The sequence below is a fragment of the Homo sapiens genome, chromosome 21, assembly GCF_000001405.40.
Source record: "Homo sapiens chromosome 21, GRCh38.p14 Primary Assembly".
Classification (NCBI taxonomy): domain Eukaryota; kingdom Metazoa; phylum Chordata; class Mammalia; order Primates; family Hominidae; genus Homo; species Homo sapiens.
The window spans coordinates 9991178-10016842 of NC_000021.9; the positions used below are offsets into that span (position 1 = coordinate 9991178).

At 32.9% G+C, this 25665-nt stretch overlaps 1 long non-coding RNA gene across 10 annotated transcripts in view; it reads right to left on the reverse strand.

Moving 5' to 3' along the window:
• Positions 1-4888: 4888 nt before the first annotated feature.
• The window catches only part of LOC105372733 (uncharacterized), a 123425-nt gene continuing 102648 nt past the window's right edge, over positions 4889-25665 (reverse strand). For 8 of the 10 annotated variants that reach the window (XR_951174.4, XR_951171.3, XR_951170.3 and 5 more), the window contains 3 exons: positions 10908-11028; positions 6569-6871; positions 4889-5814 (listed from right to left, as the gene is read on the reverse strand). This is a non-coding gene — a long non-coding RNA (uncharacterized LOC105372733). The remainder of the gene's footprint in view (positions 5815-6568; positions 6872-10907; positions 11029-25665) is intronic. The other 2 variants (XR_951173.4, XR_001754953.2) reach the window with 1 other exon arrangement.

Below are 25665 nucleotides of genomic sequence, written 5' to 3' on the forward strand. Positions count from 1 at the left end.
AAGGTATAGTACATAGAAACCACTGACCATTGGTAATTCTGAAACACTACAGGTCAGACAGTTTGAATGAACCATATACTAAAGGTTGGAAAAGTTATTTGATTAAACTCTGCCTTTTTTTTTCTGGGAAGAACACATAGATTAATCACTTTGTATAACCCCAACCTCTCCCTTCTTGGGAGTGGGGATAGGGGAAACAGTTTTCATCATCTATGATCTTAAGTTTCCTCATGCTCTTTCTCATTGTTAAGACAATACCACTTATTTTAGCTTATTGTTACAATAGTATTTCATTTTTTTCTAACAACTTGGTATTAGTCAAGATGGGATATAATAACAAATGACTCTTGAAATCTTCATGGGTGCCATGGGAAGTTTCAAGAACACAACTTGAAAGTGAATTGCATGACTTTGTTCTGTATTTCATTGACCACTACTCATTCAGTGAGCCTGAAAGTAACTGTGTATATCACTGTTAGTATACTATGCATGCCAGATACCCAAGACTCAAACTTTTCCTTTCCTTTAGATACCACCTACTTAGTCATCAATTTTGGTTCAACCTACTCCACTAAATAGCTTTGACTTCCATTCACTTACCACTTTAGATTAGTGCTATAGACTCCTATTTTACCTCCTTCATATCAATCCCCTTAAAACTCCCAATAGCTTCCATTATTTCAACCAAAAGCTCAAATTCCTTTAATATAAAGTGTTATATGAACTGGCACCCTATATACTTTATATCCTAATCTCTCATCTTTCATTTATTTCTTTAACTCCTGACTCATGTAACAAAAATTCATTTATCTCAGCACGTATTTACTCCCTTACTTTACTTGTTATGCTCTCCCAAATGTCCCTGTATTTTTCATTGAATAGTAATTGCCACATTTTATTTTATATGCTTGTGTTACCATTTATATATATATTTACTACAGACTCTGCTTTTAGAAGGCATACACTGGCCAGGCGCAGTGGCTCACACCTGTAATCCCAGCACTTTGGGAGGCTGAGGCGGGCAGATCATGAGGTCAGGAGATCGAGACCATCCTGGCTAACACGGTGAAACGCCATCTCCACTAAAAATACAAAAAATAAGCCAGGCATGGTGGCGGGCGCCTGTAGTCCCAGCTACTCGGGAGACTGAAGCAGGAGAATGGTGTGAACCCAGGAGGCGGAGCTTGCAGTGAGCCGAGATCGTGCCACTGCACTCTAGCCTGGGCGACAGAGTGAGAATCTGTCTCAAAAAAAAAAAAAAAGAAGACATACACTGTGATATTTGCAACATCAAACAAACAAACAAAAAAACTAAAATTGGAAGAATACCCAAAAATAACTCAAAGGAATAATTTTAATTTCAATTAATTGATTATGGCCTTTATCATTTCAAGATTTTTATATGTCTACTTTTATGAACTCTAGGCTAGTTTTTTCCACTTTTATTTCTACAATCATAGGGCCTATTTTATATTTTCTCTTGCACTTGATTATAGAAGAGATTGAAATGAGTTAGGAAACATGTACTTGAAACCAATAATGGGCACACTTTACAGGATTTCAAAATCTAAAAATATCATAACATAACTTCAGGGAAGAGTAAGAAGTATTGGTGTCATTTTTTTCCTTTTAGTAGATCAGTTGAAGAGGTAAATTGAACATGGACTATGTGTCAGACTCTTTTTTCCAAATTATATTCTTAAATATATAGTAAAACATATGTTAGAGGCAGTTTTTTAATAACAAACAATATTTGAATTGAGATACTGAAGTAAAATAAACTGTGCAAAAATGTATTACTAAATATCTGCATTTTCTAGAGATGTATCCTTAAGTATGTAGGTATAAAATTACATTCTGAGATATATTTTTAAAATAATTTGGCAAGAAGAGAACAGGGATACCTTAAGCAGAAACAACAAAATTATGATAATTGTTGAATATGTGTGATGGTTGTATGTTAATGTATTGATTATTTTGTGTGGGTATGAAAACATGATAATAAAATCAAATTACAAAAAAATAAAAAATACCTCTTGCTTTTTTAGCAGCTTTTTACATTGTTTATAACAGTGTCTATAGCGCTATGATTGGTCAGAGCCAGAGACTATAACATTTAATAAAACGAGTCTCTCTAGAAGCTCATGGGAGTTCATTTACGGCAGCAAAGACCTATATTAAATGGACTGAATATTTAAGGAGTAATTATGTTGAGTAATGTGTTTATTTATAGTTTTAATTATACATTATCTTTCTTGGTTATCTTTAAAATATATTAAGCTTATGCAAATAGGATATGCATCATAACCCAGGATCTATTATCTGAATTGCTTATATACTTATAATAACATAACTTTAAAAGAAAGAATCAAACCATATTGCTAGCTTACAGGTTGGATCTTTCTAGAAAATAGTTATTTACCTGAATGTTTATTTTTGTTTTGCATCTTCATCAGTTAAAACCAACAGTTACAATACAAATGAAAGTTAAAAAATAATAATATTATTAATCTGAAATTTCAATGTGCTTAGCAATAAATAATGGGAATAAGAATTATCCAGGATGTACTAAACGCTACAAGAATTATATAATTCTAATGAACATGATGCTTTTGAACTTAAGTAAATTCTATGTGCTTAACTATTTTTATTGTTTATAGATTTAGGACTTCTGAATGCATTCTTTTTTGCTGTTATGGGATATTATGAATTCACCTTAGTAGACTTTTGCTTACAGGACATAAAATTAATTTATTCTATGAATTTTTTCTTCTTTTCCCAAAAATGTGTAAGTTCTGTGATTTCTTGGACTAAAAGATATCTATTTACATAGTGAAAGGCCAGGCCTTGTAAAGATCGTGACAGTATTCAATCCTATTCTTGTTTTTTTTTTGTTTCAATGTGTTGCTAGTTATCTTATCTCAGTGTATTGTATTTATATAACTGCATATTTGATTAAGATACCTAACCTATGAGACATATTAACATAATGAACACATGTAAGCACACAACCCAATTTAAGCATAAGAACAGTATCAATAATTTTGCAGTTATCTTTCACTCTTTTTCAGTCACACAGAGACAACTATACTCTTAATTTTGTGTTTAGAGTCCTCTATTTTCTTAATAGACAGATTGCACATGGTTAAAGGTCTATCTTTACATCAAGAGAGCCTGTGTTTGGATCTTGTTCACCCCGCTTATGTCTCTTTTGAAGTTATGCTTAAGCTTTATTCCTTGTTCCTTTATGGAAATTTGAGTATTTTAGGAAAAGTAAAAAAAAAAAAAAAAAAAAAAAAGAAACTTTAAAGTAGAATGATAAAATCTAGTGTTTTTAGATACAGAAGTGAGAAGCTGAATACGGGTAAAGCATGATGGACTACGGGAAGAACGGAATTTCTTGTGTGTGACTGCTCATTCAATAAGCTATATTTTTTAAAAACCTGAACAGGTTATAGCTATTGGTTATCTACAAGTGGAATTCTCAAACACGAAAATGAAAGCCTGACAAATAAGATGCTAATGCCATTTTCACTTAAAAAATAGAACAAGCGAAAGAGAGAAATAAAAGCACTAGCCCAGTAAGAACATCCTCTATTTGCCTTACTCATAAGCCATTTCAGGGCCATATCTGCAAAACTAGGAAGAAAGTGCTAAGTGCTAAAACATTTTAACCAATCACTTTAAGAAAGGCAGAGGAAGCAAACCACTCTAGTAGATAAAACAGGAGAGACTGAAGTTGCTATAGTTGTAATCTTTTTAAAAATAATCTATTTGTTTTGAAGAAAACCCCAATAGGAAGGTGTTTTCATTTTTAAAGGTATCTCTTTTCAGATACTATTTAATACTCAGTGTGCTAATAATGTCAAAAATTGTTAAATGCGTATATATCTGTATTTCAAATAGGATAGTTTATCAAGTCAGGTTTTCCAAGAAGCTGATACTATGCAATTATAAGTCACTCAAAAGGTTATGAGAGGAACGTTAGTTAAAGATTAAGAAGAAAAAGCAGATCTAAGTGCAGGGAGTCTTCAGTGATGCAAGCCTGGCTTCTGTCAAAGGAGGGGGAGAAGGAAGAAGGATGAGAATGAAAGAGTCACAGCCTGAAACACAGTTTAGGAAATTTTGGCCCAGACAATAGAAGTCTCCAGTCCAAAGTCTTCTGTTGGAAGGTTATCACAAATCTTAAAAATGGCCTTCATCAATACTCCGAGCATGCTCAGTCATTGGCCAGGAACAACCAGAGAAAATATGGCCTGAGTGCAAAGATAGTCATACAACCAGAAAAACAGTAGCTGGGGCTGCCTGTCATCCATGGTCACTGAAGCAAGAGTTGTGAGTGGTGACCACATATATCAAATATTTCTATGAAAAAAAACAAAACAAAACAAAGCCCAATCAAGTGAAACTCCAAAATGATAACCTTTAATGCTTATTAGATGACACAAGTGTTAGGTTGGGTATTTTACTAAATATTTAATCATTATATATGCACATATTTATGGGCATGTGAGCTTAATTTCTGTTTTTAAATTCAGAATGCTTCAATAATAACATTGCATTTTATATAATCCTGATTTTCTTTTTTAAAATCAGCTCAAAAGGAGAAGTTAAATATTCAGCTTTAATTTCACCAGTAGATTTTTAATGTTTTGTAATCATAATGTTTAATTTGTGCTGTTCTTAGAACTTTAATTATGAAGCTAAATTGTACTAATACCCATTAGGTACTTCTTAATTGAAGGCACATCATATGTCTGATGTGGCAGTACTAATTGGTGTAATTAAATTCTAATATGCTTCAGTAGCCTGATTTTTTAAGTGAATAAAAAGCTGATAGAAATAAGTCAGCTCTTGAAGCTGCATAGTTGTATAATACATACACGTGTTTGCACTTGTAACATGCACATTTATTCAGAACAAACAACTCATTAATTTATTCCAAAACCATTTCACCTGATAACTTAAAATACAGAGTAAAACAAATTGGTCAGGTAAATATACATGTAACTTAAAAAGAAACAGTCATGTACTTTAGGCATAAGGACAATGCTTTTCTCTTTTACAAATTCTAAGTTAGGTCAAATTCTCTGAAAGTCACTGCTTTTCTTTACTGTGATGTGTTTTCGGTGAAGTTACAGCCTATTTGCAAATCACATCACTGGTTTGTCCAAGCAGAGGTAGATGAGAGGTAAGCTCCTGTCCTGCTAAAAGTCTCCTAAAAACAGCAAGAAAATATTTTTACATGTTCAAAAATGCTCATTTATTTATATTCCTAAATTTTCTTTTACTCAGTATAATATAGATAATTTAAAAATCAGTAGAATATTTTTATTATATATGTTTTATTTTTATACTTCTAGTTAAATTAATAGTGGAACATTATATATCTATTAAATGTTTTAAATTACATGGAATTAAAATATCAAAGTTAATTATGTTATTATAATTTTTAAATTTCAGAAACCTTCTCTAAAATTCTTACTGTTTTATCTTAAAAAATTCATATAGAAATTGTGGTCAGATGTAAACTGTGACTCTGAGCACAAATCCCAATGCTATTGCCAATTTAATTCCAATTTTTGTGTTCACACATGAAATGTAGTTTTTCTTTTATTGAGTTTTAAAAATCTGTAAGATTTACCTATCTGAATATACACTCAGGTCTAGCTTCATGTTCCTGTGACCTGTGTGGTCACACAAGGACCCATGTACATAATGACCTCATACTTGGCCTAATGCTCTGCTGTTGCCATCTTGAAACGCTTAACACTTTGAACGAGGTACAACATCCACGTCATTTTGCACTGGGCCCTGCAAATCACGTAGACAGTCATATATGAGTCCAGTATTTTCCTACCACCAGACATTTTAATGTACTGAAGAGATAAAAAAAACTAATAATTAGAAGTTTTAAAAGAATATTTTTAAGAGTTGTTGTTTGTTTGTTTGTTATTTAATCCTAGATGTCTCAAGCTTGCCTTCCATTAGATAATGCAGTAAGGGCCGGGCGCGGTGGCTCACGCCTGTAATCCCAGCACTTTGGGAGGCCGAGATGGGCAGATCACGAGGTCAGGAGATCGAGACCATCCTGGCTAACACGGTGAAACCCCGTCTCTACTAAAAATACAAAAATTAGCCGGGCATGGTGGCGCACGCCTGTAGTCCCAGCTACACGGGAGGCTGAGGCAGGAGAATGGCGTGAACCCGGGAGGCGGAGCTTGCAGTGAGTCGAGATCGCGCCACTGCACTCCAGCCTGGGCGACAGAGCGAAACTCCGTCTCAAAAAAAAAAAAAAAAAAAAAAAAAGATAATGCAGTAAGGAACCCCCAGTTTACAACACAGGGCAGGCAGGAAGACAACCAACTCAATGGGATCTCTGTCCTGTGCAGTCACCACCAGCTGAGCCTTCTTTTTCTCCACTAAGGTGGTGACAGCGTTAACCCCCATTAAAAGGACAGGTGATCTCTTAGTGGGGATGTCTCCTTTGCTTTCTTCTCAGCCCAGGCCAACAGTCTCTGCTGTTTCTCTTGCTTTGTCTCTGGTCTGTACTTGCCAGCCCGCTTACCCCATTGAGCAGCTGTTTGGTGGTCCAAGGCCCTGGTGAACTGATTAATCACAGAAGGCACTTCTAGCTGTTTATAGAGGATGGCTCTCTGCTGCTGCAACCTAGTATAATGGGGCCATTTGACAAAGTAAGTGAGGTCCCTTTTGGGCTGGATGTTCTGTCCAATGCCAAAATGTCCTGTCCAGTGCCAAATTTCTCAAATGGAAGATTCACCACTTTCATGGTCTCCTGCTTTTTCAAGACAGCAAGGGTGAGCACCACCTTCTTCCCTTCGGCCTTCTTTCTTTTTCGCACCTTGGGTAGCTGGAGAAGAGAATAATAAGATCTTGAGAGAAAAATAAGTTGAAGCCAGAGGTAAAACTCAATATTGGTAATATCTTTTTGTTGTAGGGTTGCTTTCCATTTTAGAAAGTAATTCAGAGTGTTATTTTTTAAAAATCATATATCAGAGTTCTCTAATAAATTTCAAACTTAAAAGAACATTTAACTTCATAAGAGAAGAGAAATGTTTCATGAACATATTTTAAAGATAGGGAAACTAGAATACAATTTGGAGTAAAACTAATATTTTAAGTAACCTGGAGATAGGACTCATATCTTTTAATAGAACATGCATTCTAACAAGCCAGTGATTTTTCAAAGTTTTCTAAAACACTTTTCTCAAACCACATTTAACCTAGAAGTAGAAACAAATAAAAGACACAAAATTAGAGTTAATTTTATTGTAACTGGGTTGGCTCCAGAGATTATAGTTAGGAAGTGATTACATTAAGCTCTACATATGCAGCATTCTAGAAAATTTCAATGCAGTAGACAAAATCTATAAATAATGTGAAACACATATTAACATGTTAAGCATAATATGCATTCATTGTCTTCAACAGAATAGTTCTCTATTAATTTTTTAAACGTAATACAATTTTACTTTAAAAACTGAAAAATCAACATATTTCATTAAGAAAAAAATATAAATGTTGCAAAATGATGATGAAAATACCGATAGTAACAATTCCCAACTATAACAATTTTGTTTTATCTAATACTGGTCAGCTTTCCATGTGTCCAAGCATTACAGGACTTTTCATTAAGCCTAATCCTCACAAGAACATTGCTTTGAGTGATATTCCAGAGTGGTAGTCCTTTAAGGCATTAGAACGATTTGTGAAATCACTAAAAATACTAGGGGAAATATTCAAAAAATGACAATAGTGCCATTATTCCTCCTCCTCAAAGAGACTATCAGAACTAAAACTCTTTGCTTCATGTTCCTGTTTACTTCTGTCCCTTTCAAGTCACAGAGGTATTATCAGACTTTCATCATTATATGACTCTGCTTTTCCAACAGAATCAATTACCTATCCCTTATCTCACATCTTGATAGTGATAGATATTGAATGCTTATGTTCTGATTAGCAAACTCTTTTTGCATTTTTAGTAACAACTTGAACTCCTGATATGTCTGGAAAATATAACCCCTTCAACAGCCCTTTCAATGGGTTGCTACTATTTTGCTCACCCCATCTTCACCTGCCTAATCATGAGGAGGCGGGGTATATACAATTTCAGTTAATTTGTAGTTATCAGTCTATTATAGTTCTTTCCTTCTGAAAACCAACAAGTAAATAAACCAGCAAGCATCACCAATAAACTTTGACAGTTTATGGTTCATAACGTATGTCTACACCAAACTTTCCATTCAAATGCTTTTTCAAACCTTTGGTTTCTTTCTCTATTAAGACAACTTTTGCTTTTGGCTTTCAAAGACATTCTCTCCATTATAAACTCTGTCATTATTCTCTATTGTGCTTACCTCAAACTGGTAACTCTTTCAAATCTTACCTGTCAGTTTCTTGACCACCATGCATGTTAATAACATTTCTTCTCTATTTTAGACAGCAAATGTTTCTCAATATTTAAAAAAAAATATCCTACTCTTTGGTCCTCTCTACCTCCCATTTCATCCAATATCACTTGTTCGAGACCTGAACTCGTACAGGTTTTTAACCTGTTGAAGACTGTCACTCTATGGACTCTACTCTCTTCTCTCTCCTCCATAGCCTTCTCATTGCCTATCTTCCCTACTTGTCCAGGAAATGATGACATGTTTCATCACTATAATTAATCCATTTCAAATGGCCTTTATGCCAAATTATTTTATTATATGCTCTTTCTGTGCCATGCCTTGTTTTCCAAATTTACCACAGTACAAATTTTACAATTAGTTTTCCATTACTGAATTAGTACCAATCTCTGTCTTAAAAAATAAATACAGTAAAAAATGATAATGAATTTATTTCTTCTTATAATACTATCACTGGTGCATGATTAGAATAAATTAATCTTAAGATAATATAAGCATTTCTCCAAATGGTCTTCAAATTCATTGATTTTTTTGTGATTTCAATTTGCATATTTATTGTTCCTGTTGCAATTTTTTCAGATTTTTTAAGTATATGTATTAACTCAGAACACATAACTCTTATCACACATATTTTTCATGTAATTTATCTAAATCTCATAGAAAAGGGTCCATTTGCATTTTCTCTTATTAGACTCCTGATTTCAAATAATATATTACTTATGAGTATTTTTCTGTGCTGTAGTTATTCATTCTTATAGATATGTAACATAATTCCTTTTTCAAAGGTAAAAATTGAGCTATCTCTTGTTGAGGATTTGTTGATCTCTGTCTAAAGTTTCAAAAATAAAGAACTTTAAAAGCAAAATGTAAATTCCTTTCAAGTTTTAGTAAAATTACTTCAAACTTAGTAGCTTAAACAATACAGATTTATTATGTTACAGTTCTGTAAGACAGAAATCTGACTTGATCACACCATGTTAAAACGAAGATACTGCCAGGGTTGGTTTTTTCTTGGGGGTGGTCTGTGGGAAGAGTTCGTTTCCTTTGGTTTTCCACAGCCCAGAGGCTGCTTGCATTCCTTTAATCACTGTCCCTTCCTCCATTTTTGAAATGAGGAATGGAGTCAGGGTGACTATGGTTAGCAATATTGTATTGTATATTTCAAAATAGCTAGAAGAGAGGATTTTTGAATTCTCTCACCATAAAGATATCAAAGATGTATGAAGTGAAGAATATGTTGAATATCCTGATTCAATATTTAAACTATACATACACGTGTTGAAACATCACACTGTATCCCATAAATATGTACAATAATTATGTGTCATAAAACAAGATTTAAATTGTTTTAAAGGGCCAGCAATGGCAGTTTGTGAGTTCCCATCTCATCACTCTAACTTCTTCTGCCTCCTTCCACTTGTAAATGTCCTTCTGATTATTTTGGTCCCATCAGGATAATCCAGAATAACTTTCCTATCTTAATATCAACTGATGAACAACCTTAGTTTAGTCTACAATTTCAATTTTCCTTTGCCATGCAACTAACATATTCACAAATTCTGGGGACTAGAATGTGGACACCCGTTGTATTAGTTTGTCCTCACACTGCTAATAAAGACATAGCTGAGACTGGGTAATTTATAAAAGGAAGACGTTTAACTGACTTGTAGTTCCACATGGCTGGGGAGCCCTCAAAATCATGGTGGAAAGCGAATGAGAAGCAATGTCGCATCCCACGTGGTGGCAGGCAAGAGAGCTTGTGCAGGGGAACTCCCGTTTATAAAACCAGCAGATCTCGTGAAACTTATTTACTACCACAAGAACAGCATGGGATAAACCGTCCCCATGATTAAATTCTCTCTACCTGACCCCATTCTTCACATGGAATTATTACAATTCAAGGTGAGATTTGGGTGGGGATACAGCCAAATCACATCATTTGTGGAGAGCTGTGATTCTGCCTACCACAAGTAAGATGTACAAAGCATGGAAGGAGCTACAGCCAGAAACAATTATACCATTGGGAATTTCTAGCAGAATAAATAGCAGTTATTAACTGATAAGTTAATAGATTAAGTAAACCTAAATAATTGCCTTCATTAGCAGTGAGGCTTTTGATGGTCCATGTATCACAGATATTTAAACACAAATACATTTTTCTCATTTATTCCAATAACAAAAGTGTTTTTTGGTTTGTTTTGTTTTGTTTTTGAAAGTTTGGTATGAGAGAGAAAGAGATGAGCTGATTTGACTACTCCAGGCTAGAGGATATGTAGCTGAGAGTCTATGGCTGAGTGGAGGAAAAAAAAAAAAAAATCACAAGCCCTGTCCAGGATAACAGAGAGAGAAAGCTGTTTCTGTTGAGATTTGATGGCCCCCATCACACCAAATTTGGGCTTCTAGCTAGCCTCAGTTCTTCAGATAACTGACCTTCCTTCCTTCCTCCCTCTTGTAATAGTCTTTGTGTATTAGAAGTACCTTGAAATACTGGGTCAGAAAATGTGGCACAAAAGAGAAAAGCTTGCTCACTCCACATCTTGACCTGATCATTTCCTGAACATGATTGAGGTAGATGACTCTTTGCTCCTCTTTGGCTGACCTGCAGGAATAATACTGGGAATAAGCAAATCTCCTTTGGACTCCAGAGGGTGGTGGTCAGGAAGTGGGCCATTGAGAACCTAGGCAGAAATGCAGGCCAGATTATTGGAGTAGTTTGCTTTATAATGTTAAGATATTTATACACATGTTATGTGGGCCTCTATTTCCACTCTTATCTTAGAGCCCACATGTATTATGGAGGGCCTAGAATTGTTTCTGGAGTTTTTGGTATATACCTTTTTCAGAATAAAGTAAAAAATATTTATAGATAATTTAATTGTTCCCTATGTAGATTCCAGTGCCAAATTCCTTTCTTAGACACTTTTTCCAGTATAACATGTTAATATGTGACCCCTGCTTCACTTACAGATTTTTAGAGATCTATCCCAGGTTACTTAATTCAACTCCAAGACATACTTTTCTTTTAAATGCAGTGAATAAAGCGTCAGTTACTTAGTCACTCCGGTTTTATTTAATCCTACTGTCATCTGACAATATGGTACTGATACTATTTCCTATTTCTAGATGGTTGCTAGAAATATACTGTAATATTTATTCTTGATATATGTTTGTTACTTTAACGGGAATACATAGGCTATAAATAGTCCCCTTGCCTCTCACAAGTTAGACAGTCCTGCCCAGAATGCCCTGCTGAAGAGTTGTAGCAGATCACCCTGTTCCTCCTTAACCTCTCTGTTCCTCATATGCTCACCTATAAAATAGTGATCATAGTAACACCCATCTTGTGATGATGTAGAGAGGTTCAAAGAAGCGAATTAGGGGAGGCCAGGCATGGTGGCTTATGCCTCTAATTCCAGCACTTTGGGAGTCCAATCACTTGAAGTCAGGAATTCGAGACCAGCCTGGCCAACATGGTGAAACCCACTTCTACTAAAACAAACAAACAAACAAACAAAAAACAAACAAACAAACAAAAAACACAAAAATTAACTGGGCATTGTGGCAGTTGCTTCTAATCCCAGCTACTTGGTTGGCTGAGGCAGGAGAATCCGTTGGACCCAGGAGGCGGAGGTTGCAGTGAGCCGAGATCACACCACTGCACTCCAGCTTGGGTAACAGAGCAAGGTTTTGTCTCAAAAGAAAAAAAAAAAGAAACCAATTAGGGTGGAAACACTTAGAACAGGGTGTTCATAAGTTGTCACCCTCTTGAAGCAATTGTTGGACACTATTTTAAAAATGTTTTACTTCTGAGTGAAATGTTGCATTTTATTTTACTAGAAGATTCTTATGTAGTTTAAGTACATTTTACGGTATTGTCAAAGAGCATGAGCAAAATATTTAGGAAAGATGAGACCATATTTCTTTTATTTATGACATTGCCACAAAAAAATCAGGTAGATGAATTTGTATTAAGTTTTTGTACCAATTTCATATCTAAAATTTCAAAGAATTTTATTGCAACAAACTCTTTCTTACCATTAACTCAAAAAAATTCTGTTTTAAATTGACTTCATTCCATAAGTCTCTACACTACTAATTTGGCCAGAAGTTATTTTCAATCCTAATTGGGAACAACAAAGATCCACATGATATCCTTTCAATTTATGATGTTGAAGAAAGTTGAATTGTAATAATTTGAGTGTGCAGTCAAAGCAATTTTCAATACTATGTATCACTGTAGAAACAAGGGAGAATGTCTTGGTTAACTATTTAAGTGGCTTGAGTATGGCAATTAAAATTTCATCTAAGCTCATTTTGATGAATCTTGTAAGGTGACATTTATTTCTTAGGCTCTGAACATTGTAAGTTCTGTTGATTTTCATGGGAAGTTTTCAAGGTCATTTTCAGAGATCTATGACAAAATGACATTATTTGAGAAAAAAAAAAAAAAGAAGAAATAGCTCAAAGTTTAAAGCATTATGGTATTCCCTAAGCCCAAAATTTTCTCCTTTTACAGAAACAAATGAAATGCAAAATAGACAAACAAACAACCCATCAAAATACCTTGAATCACTGTTGGTGGGAATGAAAATTAGTTCGACCATTGTGGAAGACAGTGTGGAGACTCCTCATGGATCTAGAATCAGAAATCCCATGACCCAGTAGTCACATTACTTGGTATATACCCAAAGGAATATAAATCATTCTATTATGAAGACACATGCACACATATGTTTATTGCAGCACTATTTATTATAGCAAAGACATGGAACCAACTGAAATGCCCATCAGTGATAGACTAGATAAAGAAAATGTGGTACATATACACCATGGAATACTATGCAGCCATCTAAAGAACTAGATCATATCCTTTGTAGGAACATGGAAACCACCATCCTCATCAAACTAACACAGGAACAGAAAACCAAACACTGCATGTTCTCACTCATAAGTGAGAGTTGATCAACGAGAACACATTGACACAGGGAGGGGAACAACACACAGTGGGGCCTGTTGGGGCGTGGGGGGAAAGGGAAAGGAGAGCATTAGGACTGATACCTAATGCATGCAGATTAAAACCTAGATGACGGTTTGATAGGGGCAGCAAACCACCATGGCACATGTATACCTATGTAACAAACCTGCAAATTCTGCATATGTATCCCAGAAATTAAAGTAAAATAAAATAAAATAATAAAAACAACAACCAAATGTACCTTGAATCTCCAAAATAAGTTAACACAAATAGTTAAAATTGAGCATGCTTTTATTAGAAGAAGAAAATGTCATTGAAAATATAACAGATAATTTATAGGTGGGAACATACGTAAAAACGTATAACTACTTAGATCTGCTAGATAAAGTGAGTCCCAAATGATAAGGTTACAAAAATAATGTTTTTTTGTAGAATATGTGTTTTCAATGAGAAAGTGTTGCAAAAGTCAGTCATACAGATTGGTAACTTTTATGTTTATTTTTCAAAAGCAGCTCAAAATAGTTCTTTAGATTCTGTAACAACACGGTGTCCTAATTTTGCTCCTAAAATTTTGTCACAAAATTTTAAATTCACTTGCAAATTGATCTTCATTTAATCTTCCTCTAGGTGTGTAAGCTAAATCAGAGATCTGCATGAACTGCTTGTTACTCTTTCATGCTATACATCCTCCCTAGGTAATTTTGATCACTGCAATCTTTTCCATCATCATTTCTACTTGAAGACTAACTAATATAGGTAGAACAAATGTCAACTTCTAGATCTATATGCTTTCCAGATATCTCAAATAAAAGATAAAATTTGGGGAGATATACCATGTTCATGATTTTGAAATAGTCAAGACTGTGTGATATTGTCCTCAAGAAAGACTAAATAGATCAACAGAACAAAATAGAAAATACAAAAACAGATTTACACATATAGTTAATATCTTTTTTTTTAAATAGCAAGTCAATTCATCAGGGAAAGTATCAGCTTTGAAGAAATGGAAGACTTTTCAAAGCAAGAAATGTAAAACAGTTGGGTATTTATAAGCAATAGAAAACAAATTTGATTCATAGCTTGCAAAATATATAAACATTAGTAATAAGCCAACCTGCATGTATTGAAATCCTAGATATAAACATAAGATAAATCTTTGTGACCTTAGTTGAAACAAATAAGTGCTGTATATGACATTAAACATTTAATTTGTAAAATAAAATATTAACTTGAACTTCTTCAAAAGTGAAAATTTTTATTCTTTTTTAAAAATTATTATACTTTAAGTTCTGGGAAACATGTGCAGAACGTGTAGGTTTGTTACATAGGTATACACATGCCATGGTGGTTTGCTGCACCCTTCAACCCATCATCTATTTTAGGTATTTCTCCCAATGCTATCCCTCCCCAAGCCCCCCACCCCCTGGCAGGCCCCAGTGTGTGATGTTCCCTTCCCTGTGTCCATGTGTTCTCATTGTTCAGCTCCCAATTATGAGTGAGAACATGCGGTGTTTGGTTTTCTGTTCCTGTGTTAGTTTGCTGAGAATGATCATTTCCAGCTTTATCCATGTCCCTGCAAAGGACATGAACTCATCCTTTTTTATGGCTGCATAGTGTTCCATAGTGTATATGTGCCACATTTTCTTTATCCAGTCTATGATTGATGGGCATTTGTGTTGGTTCCAAGTCTTTGCTATTGTGAACAGTGCTGCAATAAACCTATGTGTGCATGTGTTTTTATACTAGAATGATTCATAATCCTTTTTCTATTTAGTAATGGGATTGCTGGGTCAAACGGTATTTCTAGTTCTAGATCCTTGAAGAATCACCACACTGTCTTCCACAATGGTTGAACTAATTTACACTTTCACCAACAGTGTAAAAGTGTTCCTATTTCTCCACATCCTCTCCAGCATCTGTTGTTTTCTGACTTTTTAATGTTCACCATTCTAACCAGAGTGAGATGGTATCTCATTGTGGTTTTGATTTGCATTTCCCTAATGACGAATGATGATGAGCTTTTTTTTTCACATGTTTTTTGGCCGCATAAATGTCTTTTTTTGAGAAGTGTCTGTTCATATCCTTTGACCACTTTTCGATGGGGTTGTTTGTATTTTTTCTTGCAAATTTGTTTAAGTCCTTTGTAGATTCTGGATATTAGCCCTTTGTCAGATGGATAGATTGCAAAATTTTCTCCCATTCTGTAGGTTGCCTGTTCACTCTGATGATAGTTTATTTTGCTGTGCAGAAGCTCTTTAGTTTAATTAGATCCCATTCATCAATTTTGGCTTTTGTTGCCAATGCATTTGTTGTTGTATTCATGAAGTTTTTGTCCATGCCTATGTCCTGAATGGTGTTGCCTAGGTGTTCTGCTAAGGTTTTTATAGTTTTAGGTCTTATGTTTAAGTCTTTAATCTATCTTGAGTTAATTTCTATATAAGATATAAGGAAGGGATCCAGTTTCAGTTTTCCACTACCCAGTTTTCCCAGCACCATTTATTAAATAGGGAATCCTTTCCCCATTGCTTGTTTTTGTCAGGTTTGTCAAAGATCAGATGGCTGTAGATGTGTGGCATTATTTCTTAGGCCTCTGTTCTGTTCTGTTGGTCTACATAACTGTTTTGGTACCAGTACCATGCTGTTTTGGTTACTGTAGCCTTGCAGTATATTTTAAAGTCAGGTCACATGATACCTCCAGCTTTGTTCTTTTTGCTTAGGATTGTCTTGGCTATACAACCTCTTTTTTGGTTTCGTATGAAATTTAAAGTAGGTTTTTCTAATTCTGTGAAGAAAGTCAATGGTAGCTTGATGGGGATAGCATTGAATTTATAAATTACTTCAGCAGTATGGACATTTTCATATTGATTCTTCCTATCCATGAGCATGGAATAATTTGCCATTTGTTTGTGTCCTCTCCTATTTCCTTGAACAGTGGTTTGTAGTTCTCCTTGAGGAGATCCTTCACATCCCTTGTAAGTTGTTTTCCTAGGTATTTTATTCTCTTTGTAGCAATTGTGAATGGGAGTTCACTCATGATTTGGCTCCCTGTTTGTCTGTTATTGTTGTATAGGAATGCTTGTTATTTTTGCATATTGATTTTGAATCCTGAGATTTTGCTGAAGTTGCTTATCAGCTTAAGATTTTGGGCTGAGACGATGGGGTTTTCTAAATATAAAATCTTGTCATCTGCAAACAGAGACAATTTGACTTCCTCTCTTCCTGTTTGAATACCCTTTATTGCTTTCTCTTGCCTGATTGCCTTGGCTAGAACTTTCAATACTATGCTTAATAGGAATGGAAAAGGGCATTTAAAAATAATTTTTTAAAAAGCTATGAACTGAGAAAACATTTGAATAGCATATATCTTATTGGCCAAGAAAGGTTTATCTCATCAGGACTAATGTTTGTCTTTAGAACTGGCACTTGGCTGGCTTTTGGAAGATAATCTGTGGGCCCTTAATATATTCTGCCTGATGACAGTGTTTCTATACATCTTTGGCTTTAGAGTACAGTGCACAAGTGGTTTTCAGCGTCTGAGGCCTTGGACCATGCTGTGCTCATTTGAACAGTTAAGCTTATCCTAACAATATAATTTAGAGTCAATGGCTATATTTGATCTGACAGATGCTGTAGTCTGAGTAGCTGAAATCACTCATATAGGCACCACCTTACATGACTGATGCCCAGTAAAAGCCCTGGAGACCAAAACTTAAATGAGCTTCTCTGATTGACAACACTTCAATATGCTGTCAAATATTGTTGCTGGGAGAATTACATGTGTTCTTGTGGGATTCCACTGGGAGAGGACACCTGAAAGCTTGTACCTGATATCTTCTACATTTCTCCCCATAGGTTTTTTTTCTTTGTTGATTTTAATCTGTATCTTTTCATTGTAGTAAACTGTAACTATGAATGTAACATGTTTTCTAAGACCTGTGAATCATTATAGTTAATCTTTGAGCCTAAGGGTGGTCATAAGGAGCCCCAACACACTAATAAATTACTTTCATAAAGAATATATAAAAGCTGTCAAAAATCAAAAATAAAACAAATCACCCAATTTTCTAAAAGGCAAAAGATTGAAAAAGACGTCATGATAGAAGACATGGATGACAAATAAGTATATCAAAAAATTTTAACATCTGTAATCATTAAAGAATTGAAAACCACAAAGAAATACTACTGATAGTTATTACAATGTCCAAAGTGAAAAAAAATATTGACCCTACCAGGTATAGGCAAGAAAATGGAGGAACTGAAACTTTAATATACTTTTGATTGACAACCAGTTTGTAAAATAGATTGACAGCTTCTTTAAAAAGTAAACCTATGCTTACCACTTAATCTAGTCATTTATCTTCTAGATATTTCCCCCTCGAAAAATGAAAAAGAAATTGTTGTATATAAATGTTCATAGGCATTTTCTCTTTAATAGCTAAAACGTGGTCATGACCCACATATTCATTAACAAGTAATTGGTGATATATACGTACAGAAAAATTCTGCTCAGCAATAAAAAGGTTCGACTACTGACACATGCAACAACATGAATGAATTTCAAAAGAATTTTGCTGTAAAGCAAAAATGCCAGCCAAAAAATAGTGCACCTTATATGATTCCATTTATATAAAACTTCTGGATGCACCAATATACAATATACAGTAACATACAATACTGAAAGATGGTCAGCAGTTGTCTAGCTAAGATGCTTATTAGGAGAGACAATAATTGCAAAAGGGGATTATTAAAAGTAGTCATGAGGAAACATTTTGTGGATTTATATGTTCACTATCTTGACAATAATGATGATCTCATGGATGTATAAATATGTCAGAGCATATCTAATAATTTATCTTACATATTTTTGGCTTTTAATATGTTAATTATAGCTCAATAAATTTCTTAAAAACTCATTGGACTCTATCTGTAATGTGTGTATGTTTAGTTTTAAGTAAAGTGCAGCTAAATTTTTCTCCACCATTACAATTTTCAAACATACTTTCACTTACAGAATAGCATACTGAAAATTAACACATGCTTTTATAATTATAAATAAAATAGTAATATATCTTTTCTGCTGAAATAAATGCAAACCAATTACAAGGAATTTATTAGTTTTTATTTTAGTTACTTCATATATATTAGCACCTAAGCCTCAAAGATTCACTATGTAATTGTGTAAATTAGTAGTAGGGTTACCTGAATCTGGCTTAATAATCAATTAATCAGTATTTATCTTTAAACATTTTTTCCTTTATGAATTGTGTCACACTTTTAAAGAGCCCTTCCTACATTACAAGCATATATAAAATATATATTTTTTTTTTTTTTTTTTTTTTTTTTTTTTGAGACGGAGTCTCGCTCTGTCGCCCAGGCCGGACTGCGGACTGCAGTGGCGCAATCTCGGCTCACTGCAAGCTCCGCCTCCCGGGTTCACGCCATTCTCCTGCCTCAGCCTCCCGAGTAGCTGGGACTACAGGCGCCCGCCACCGCGCCCGGCTAATTTTTTGTATTTTTAGTAGAGACGGGGTTTCACCGTGTTAGCCAGGATGGTCTCGATCTCCTGACCTCGTGATCCACCCGCCTCGGCCTCCCAAAGTGCTGGGATTACAGGCGTGAGCCACCGCGCCCGGCCATAAAATATATTCTTATACTATTTTAGAATAATTTCAGAAGTTAGATTGTTTTCTAGTTTTTAGTGTTTTCATTGATACCAAATTTATTTTTATGTACATAAATGTATGATTTTAAGTTAGATTATTTCAAACTCGTATCCCTGCAATTATCTGAACAAAATTTTTAAGTAGTCACATTGACTTTTTTTTCAAAAGTTAGTTTTAAGCTATTTGATAACATATGGATATACTTCACTAAAGTTGTATTTTTGTGTGTAATTCTTTAATCCATCTGGAGATATTTTGGTTGTTTTTCGATCAGATAGCCAGTTAAACCAGAAAGAAAAATCTTACCAAAAAGTTTCCACTTAGAAAATTTAATAGCCAAAAAAACTAATATATGCAAGAATGAACAAAAACATATTGATAAAACTTATACATCATATTTTTATTGAAATATTTCATAATGAAATGTTTCACATGGTTAAAGAACTACAAATTCATCCAATGTAAATAAAAACTTCATGGGAAATGTATAATATATGAGGGATTATTTGATATCTGAAAAAATTAGATAGAAAATAAATGCTTAAAAACTTCTAGAAGGTAATCCAGTAGAATATTTATCAGCTTAGGCTAACAAATGATATAAACATGATTAAAGAAGAGCTAAACTTAAATAAAAATATTAAGTTGATGACAAGTGTAAAACACCATTCTTCAAAATATGCAATTACAAATAGGAAAGCGCTAATAGGAGAAAAAATAAAATGTTTATAATGCAAAAAGTATTAACATTCAAAACTGTTGATAATATAAAGAAAGATATTATAAGGAAAAGTATTCCAGTAGTAGAGTAGCCTAAATATAAGGCAATTCGAAGAAAGAAAAGAGGAATCATGAATAGGTTTATCAATCCTGATTCCATCTTACCAGTGATTAGACTGGTAAATAAGAAAATGTGTGATAATACCAAGGGTAATAAAGATATATTTCATTTACATTTACAGTGCTGGTAAACATACACTGTACAACCACTTTGGAGAAAACTTGGAAGTACCTAAAATGTGAAAATGTACAGTTGCTCTTGATCCAGCAAGGGTACCTCTGAGTATATATTGTGGAAAAATTCTCACACATGCATACACAGTGAAACATGTAAGAGTGCTTATAGCAGCATTGTTGGGATTTTCTTTAAACCCTAGATTTGACCTATATATCTATCAGTAGAGAATCAAAATAAAATTCAAGCTATTGTTATACAGTGGGATATAGTACATCACTGATAATTAATACAAATTAATATTACGAACCACTCAAGTTTGAATCAAATATTAGGTCATGGTATAATGAAATTATAAAACTATTTAGAGTTAAAAACAGGCAAAAATGTCACATTTATTTTAGAATTCATAATTGAATAGTAGAAGAAAGTAAAAATGCATAGGAATCATCAACATGAAACACAGGAAAAATAAATGAAACATAGGCAGGTGATTGCCTGCAGAGCAAGAAAGTAGAGTTTATTAAGGAGGGCAGTATGAGAACTATTTAAGATATTTTAGGATAAGAAGCGGTTTTGTGAATTTGAATTCATTATATAACACTTTCTATTTTGTTTTGTTATTCATCATTTAACATTTTTTAAAAAATATAAAGAATTCTCATAAGTATTTTTAAACTAGAAGACAAATAAGTGGAATGAAACATCTAAATGTCAAATTTTGGTGTGTATGTCCTATTAATTTCTAAGCAGGGACACCTGGCAAGCAGAAATAACTCTGAGGACATGTGGGATTTTGAATTTTTTGACACCTCTGTAAAGTTATTTGGCAAGCAATAATAATAGCTACCACTTATTTATCAAGTGTTTACTAATGTACTAAGCATTGGCATATATGGTTTATTACTTCTATCCTATTTAGTATTCAAATCAATATGATGTCTATTTTTTGTTCTGTTTTAAAAATAAAGAAGCTAACATGTCCAAGCCACATATTTAGTAAGTATTGGAACTACATCAAAACAAGAAAGAAACATTTCAATGGTTTATCCTACTGTCTACTTCCTAAAGGAAAATTATAAATTTGCAGTAACTGATCCAAATACATTTCCAGAGTTACTTTAGCTTTCACAGTGTTGGCCAGCACAATGTGTTTTTGTTTGTTTGTTTGCTTGCTTCCTTGTTTTTTAAGAACATTCCCATAGTTGACTATTTCAATATTTAATTCTCCAATCTTGTATTTTGGGTTTCTCTTGATAAACATCAAAAAAGGTGGAGGCAGTTTACACTGAATAGACTTAAGAAGCTGACCTTTACAAGAAAGTTCAGATGCTTCATTTTACCACAATTTCTCCACTGCTTAGTTTTATTACACCTAGTCCATATCACGCATTTGGGTTACTTGCCTGGCTCATCTATGACAGAAAAGAAGGAAAGGAGAAAGGAAGCAAAAGAGAATAAAGAACCTAAATAAGTGCTATTCATCTATTCAGAGCTGTTTCAAAAAATTAAGTAAATGTTTTCTTCAGTATTCTCAGTCAAATCTTGCTTCATACTTATTATAAATACCCTGAAGGAGTCATACCAATGTGTTCTCTGTAAATGCCATGAACAACACTTTGTTTTTGTATAACGGTTTTCATGACTATTGTATTAATAGCACATTTAATAATATTTCAATAGGTCAAAATTATGTCATATGTTTTCTTACAAATTTTTGTCATTTTTTAGAATTAATGCTACAGCCCAGAAGATAAATATTATTATGAAAGCTTGTTTGTAAAAAATTTCAGTAATTTTATATCTTTTTGGTAAGATTAATGGCTTCTATTGTATATATTTACAATGGATATCAATGTTGATATTGAGTTATCCAATCTAATATTTTAATAGCTCCAGCTTGAACTATGAATGGTAGATGACTGTGTTCTGTACGTATACCAATATGAGTATTTTTCTATGTTAAAGATTTTACTAGAATCCTTAAATAAACCATAATCATCTAATATGATTTTCTGCTGGAATTTATATAATTTATTATCATAAAATATATTGAATTGCTCAGATAAAAATTTTAATTTCTATAAATCTTAATATATAAAAATATGGTCTTCTTCAACAAATTGACATTCCAAATTGGTTTAGAATATCCTTAAATAATTATAGTTTTATTTTCAAATAAGTTAATTTTACAAATTGTTATCATTTTTAACTTAACTTTTGTGTTTTGTTTTTTGTTTGTATTTATGTCTTCCCCAAATGTCCTCTTTTTAATGCAAATGTAGAGAAGGCAGACACCTAGAATTCCATCCTAGAATTAAGACGTGACAATTAACTTTGATTTTGTAAATGCATTGTATGCTGACCTAATAGAAGATGAAAAGTGGAAAAATTTGCACAATGAGTTCAAGAACTCTGAGGAAAAGTATTCAAAGAGTCTAGTTAAGAAAACCTTATTAAGTGGAAATTTCATACCAGACAAGGCTGCACAGCTTGGAAAAGCCCTGCACTTAAAATTAACTTCAGCCGGTGATGTGCTGAGGCTCTTGACTCAAGTACAGGCACACGGGCTGGCTATGATTTGGAGAAACATGGTAAGTCATATGAATGTTAGTTGATAACTAATTTTATTGTTCATGTGCGGAGGACATAGGGTCAAATGTGCCCCAAGAGGACCTCGAGAAAATATATGTGGGTCTGGATACAGACCTCATGTGACAAAAAGAAGCAATAACCGGGAAAGACTGATTCTCTCTGCTTATCATTTAGAACAATCAAAATAACTTTGAAATGAAAAAAACTCTAGGAGTTTTGAAATTATTAAACTGGCATGTACATATTAAAAGGGAACAAATAAGGAATTTACTACTAATAGGGCATGGGGGAAAGCAGACCCAAAGTTCTAATTAATATTTTAAAATGATGGTATCCATTTTCCGGTTTTAAGGTAAGTCCATACTGCTGAAAATTGCTCTATGTTTCTTATCAAATTTATCTATATCAGCATTTATTTTACTTCTAAATTTAATTACAATTTTTAAATTCCATTAAAAAAGTTATCTCACATTTAACTATTTGTTACCTTTCCTTCTCATCTTACAATATTACTTCTCTACCTGTCAAACTATATACAGTCCAGTTCCTATTCCAATTATGGCTATAATTGCGGTACAATTAATCAATTAATTAACAAAGCATAGCAAAAAATCAAAAGAACTTTAAAAAATTATGTATAATTGTGATCAATATGATGTTTTTAAATATGTTCAACTATTTATACTATTTTCCTTCTCAAAGAATCATCAGAATGCTGAACACATAAAATAAACATTGAATAAATTAAAAATAATTTTTCATTCTAAACAATCTAATTTAAGTATAGTTCCTATTTAGACTTAACCATAACACTTTGAAAAACTTGAAAGAATTCACTGATTTTTTATAAAATTTAAAATTAATACATATTACACAATTTGTAATATGTATTTTTACTTTGAACACAAGGGCATTTTAAATTGAGCTTCTTTGAAATATAATTCACATATAAAAATTTCAGAAAATTTTAAGGACCTTTTTCTTTTTACTAATGCTTTGATTAGGATTTCAGTCTGCATACGAATTTGTCATGATTTTAGCTGAAACTATTTAAATAGATCGCCGCCGGGAAAAAAGGCGGGAGAAGCCCCGGCAGGTTTGAAGCTGCTTCTTCGAATTTGCAATTCAATATGAAAATCACCTCAGAGCTGGTAAAAAGAGGCTTAACCCCTGTCTTTAGATTTACAGTCCAATGCTTCACTCAGCCATTTTACCTCACCAGATCAATACCTTTCCTTATCTCTCAATGTCATTAGATATATACATTTTAATCTTAATTTATAGAACAAATATACATATCTTTTTCTGATTATGTGCCTCTAAGTTTGGTAAAAAGTTCTTGATGCAACCAGTGGACTCAACACTTCTCCTTACTTTGCATTTATAATAATAGGCTTATAGCAGTTTTTTCTCCAAATTAAAGTATAAATATTTAATTTTTACTTTTAATTTTTAAACGTTACTCAATATTATGTTTATAAAATGACTTCTGGAAAAACATGTCTATTTTCTATCATTTATTATGTCATAATTGAGAGAAGCAAGAACCCAAATTCATTTAATTATAACACATAAAACTGAATAAATATAGATGACAGATATGTGTTCTTTGTTTTTACATATCTGTTGTAAACCATATTACTCAGATTATCTCACTTCTTTCAACTTTTCTAATAAAAGCAATTACCATACCTATGTGGAATGTATTTTAATAGTAATTCGTTTTAATAAAAGTTATATATTTTTAGGAGGTCAAAATAGCAATTTCAATTTATGAAATGTTGACTTTTTAATCTTATTGACATATTTTCTGGAGGCAAATTGTAGAACTATTTGAATAGCAACAGAAATTTCCAGTGGAGAGACAGTCAGATACGAAACTTCCGTGAGAAAACTGTATTTATCAGTGACTGAAAATCCTTGGATTAGGACCTAACTCCCACCTACTTGTTCTTGTAGATACTCTGTCTAAATACAGATATAGATAGATACAGATACAGATATAGACATAGACATAGATACAAGTACAGTTACATAGAAAAATGAAATAATATTATAAGATATCCTGAAATATATATAATATGTTAGTTCCTAACATTGTTTTAAAAGTTACTTGTTTAACCAATCAAAGAAGAAACAACTTAAACAGACTTTACAAAAATTCATCAGATTTAATAAAGTTGTCTATTCGAAGATAGGGACTTTTTTCTTTTTTAAAAATTAAATGAGAAAGCAACTATTGGCAAATTCAAATTCCTTTCTTATCAAAATATATATTTTGAATTTTTATTGTTTAAAACAATATAGAATTTGAATTAATAGCTTAGTAAGGAAATGTCTTTCCTCAAGACTACAATGTGCTATCTTGCATACAAAATTACCAAATAAACACAGTGGCTGCTGATAAATTTTTACCTAATTATTCAATATGTTTCCCTTGAAAAATGAATGATTAAATGAATTAAACAACAGTTAAACAATTAGATTCAGTATGAATATTATGTGCATACTGTACATACTTTTGTATTTTCAAGGTCAATCATTGCATAGAAAGAAATTAATTTTTTTAAGAAGTTAAAAATATAGTACTTAATCTTGAATAAATTTGTTAACAACTAGGGCACATTAAAATATGCCTGAAAGGTAGTAAAATTACATTTTAACATTTATACAAGAGGTTGTCTAGAATATTACAAAAGAAAAATAACCTAAAAATAAAAACTTTCCCAAAACAAAGACTCAAAAGCAGCCCAAAACTGTTACAACAATAAAAATAATGCTACAATATTTGTTTCTATTTTAATTGAAAAAAGGAAAGGCAGATTTAGTTATTACTCTAAATAGATACTTTATTGTTGATTTTTCTAGATTTAATAGATTCAATAGTTTGAACTTAAAACCGTATTTCTCAATTTTACTCTAATTTTCTAACCTCAAACTTAAAACACATCATTTCCCTCTTTACTTTCCCACCAACCACACACACTAGCCACGTCATTCTATTTGTATTTACCTCATTCTTTTTCACATACTCTTTGTGTGTGATTC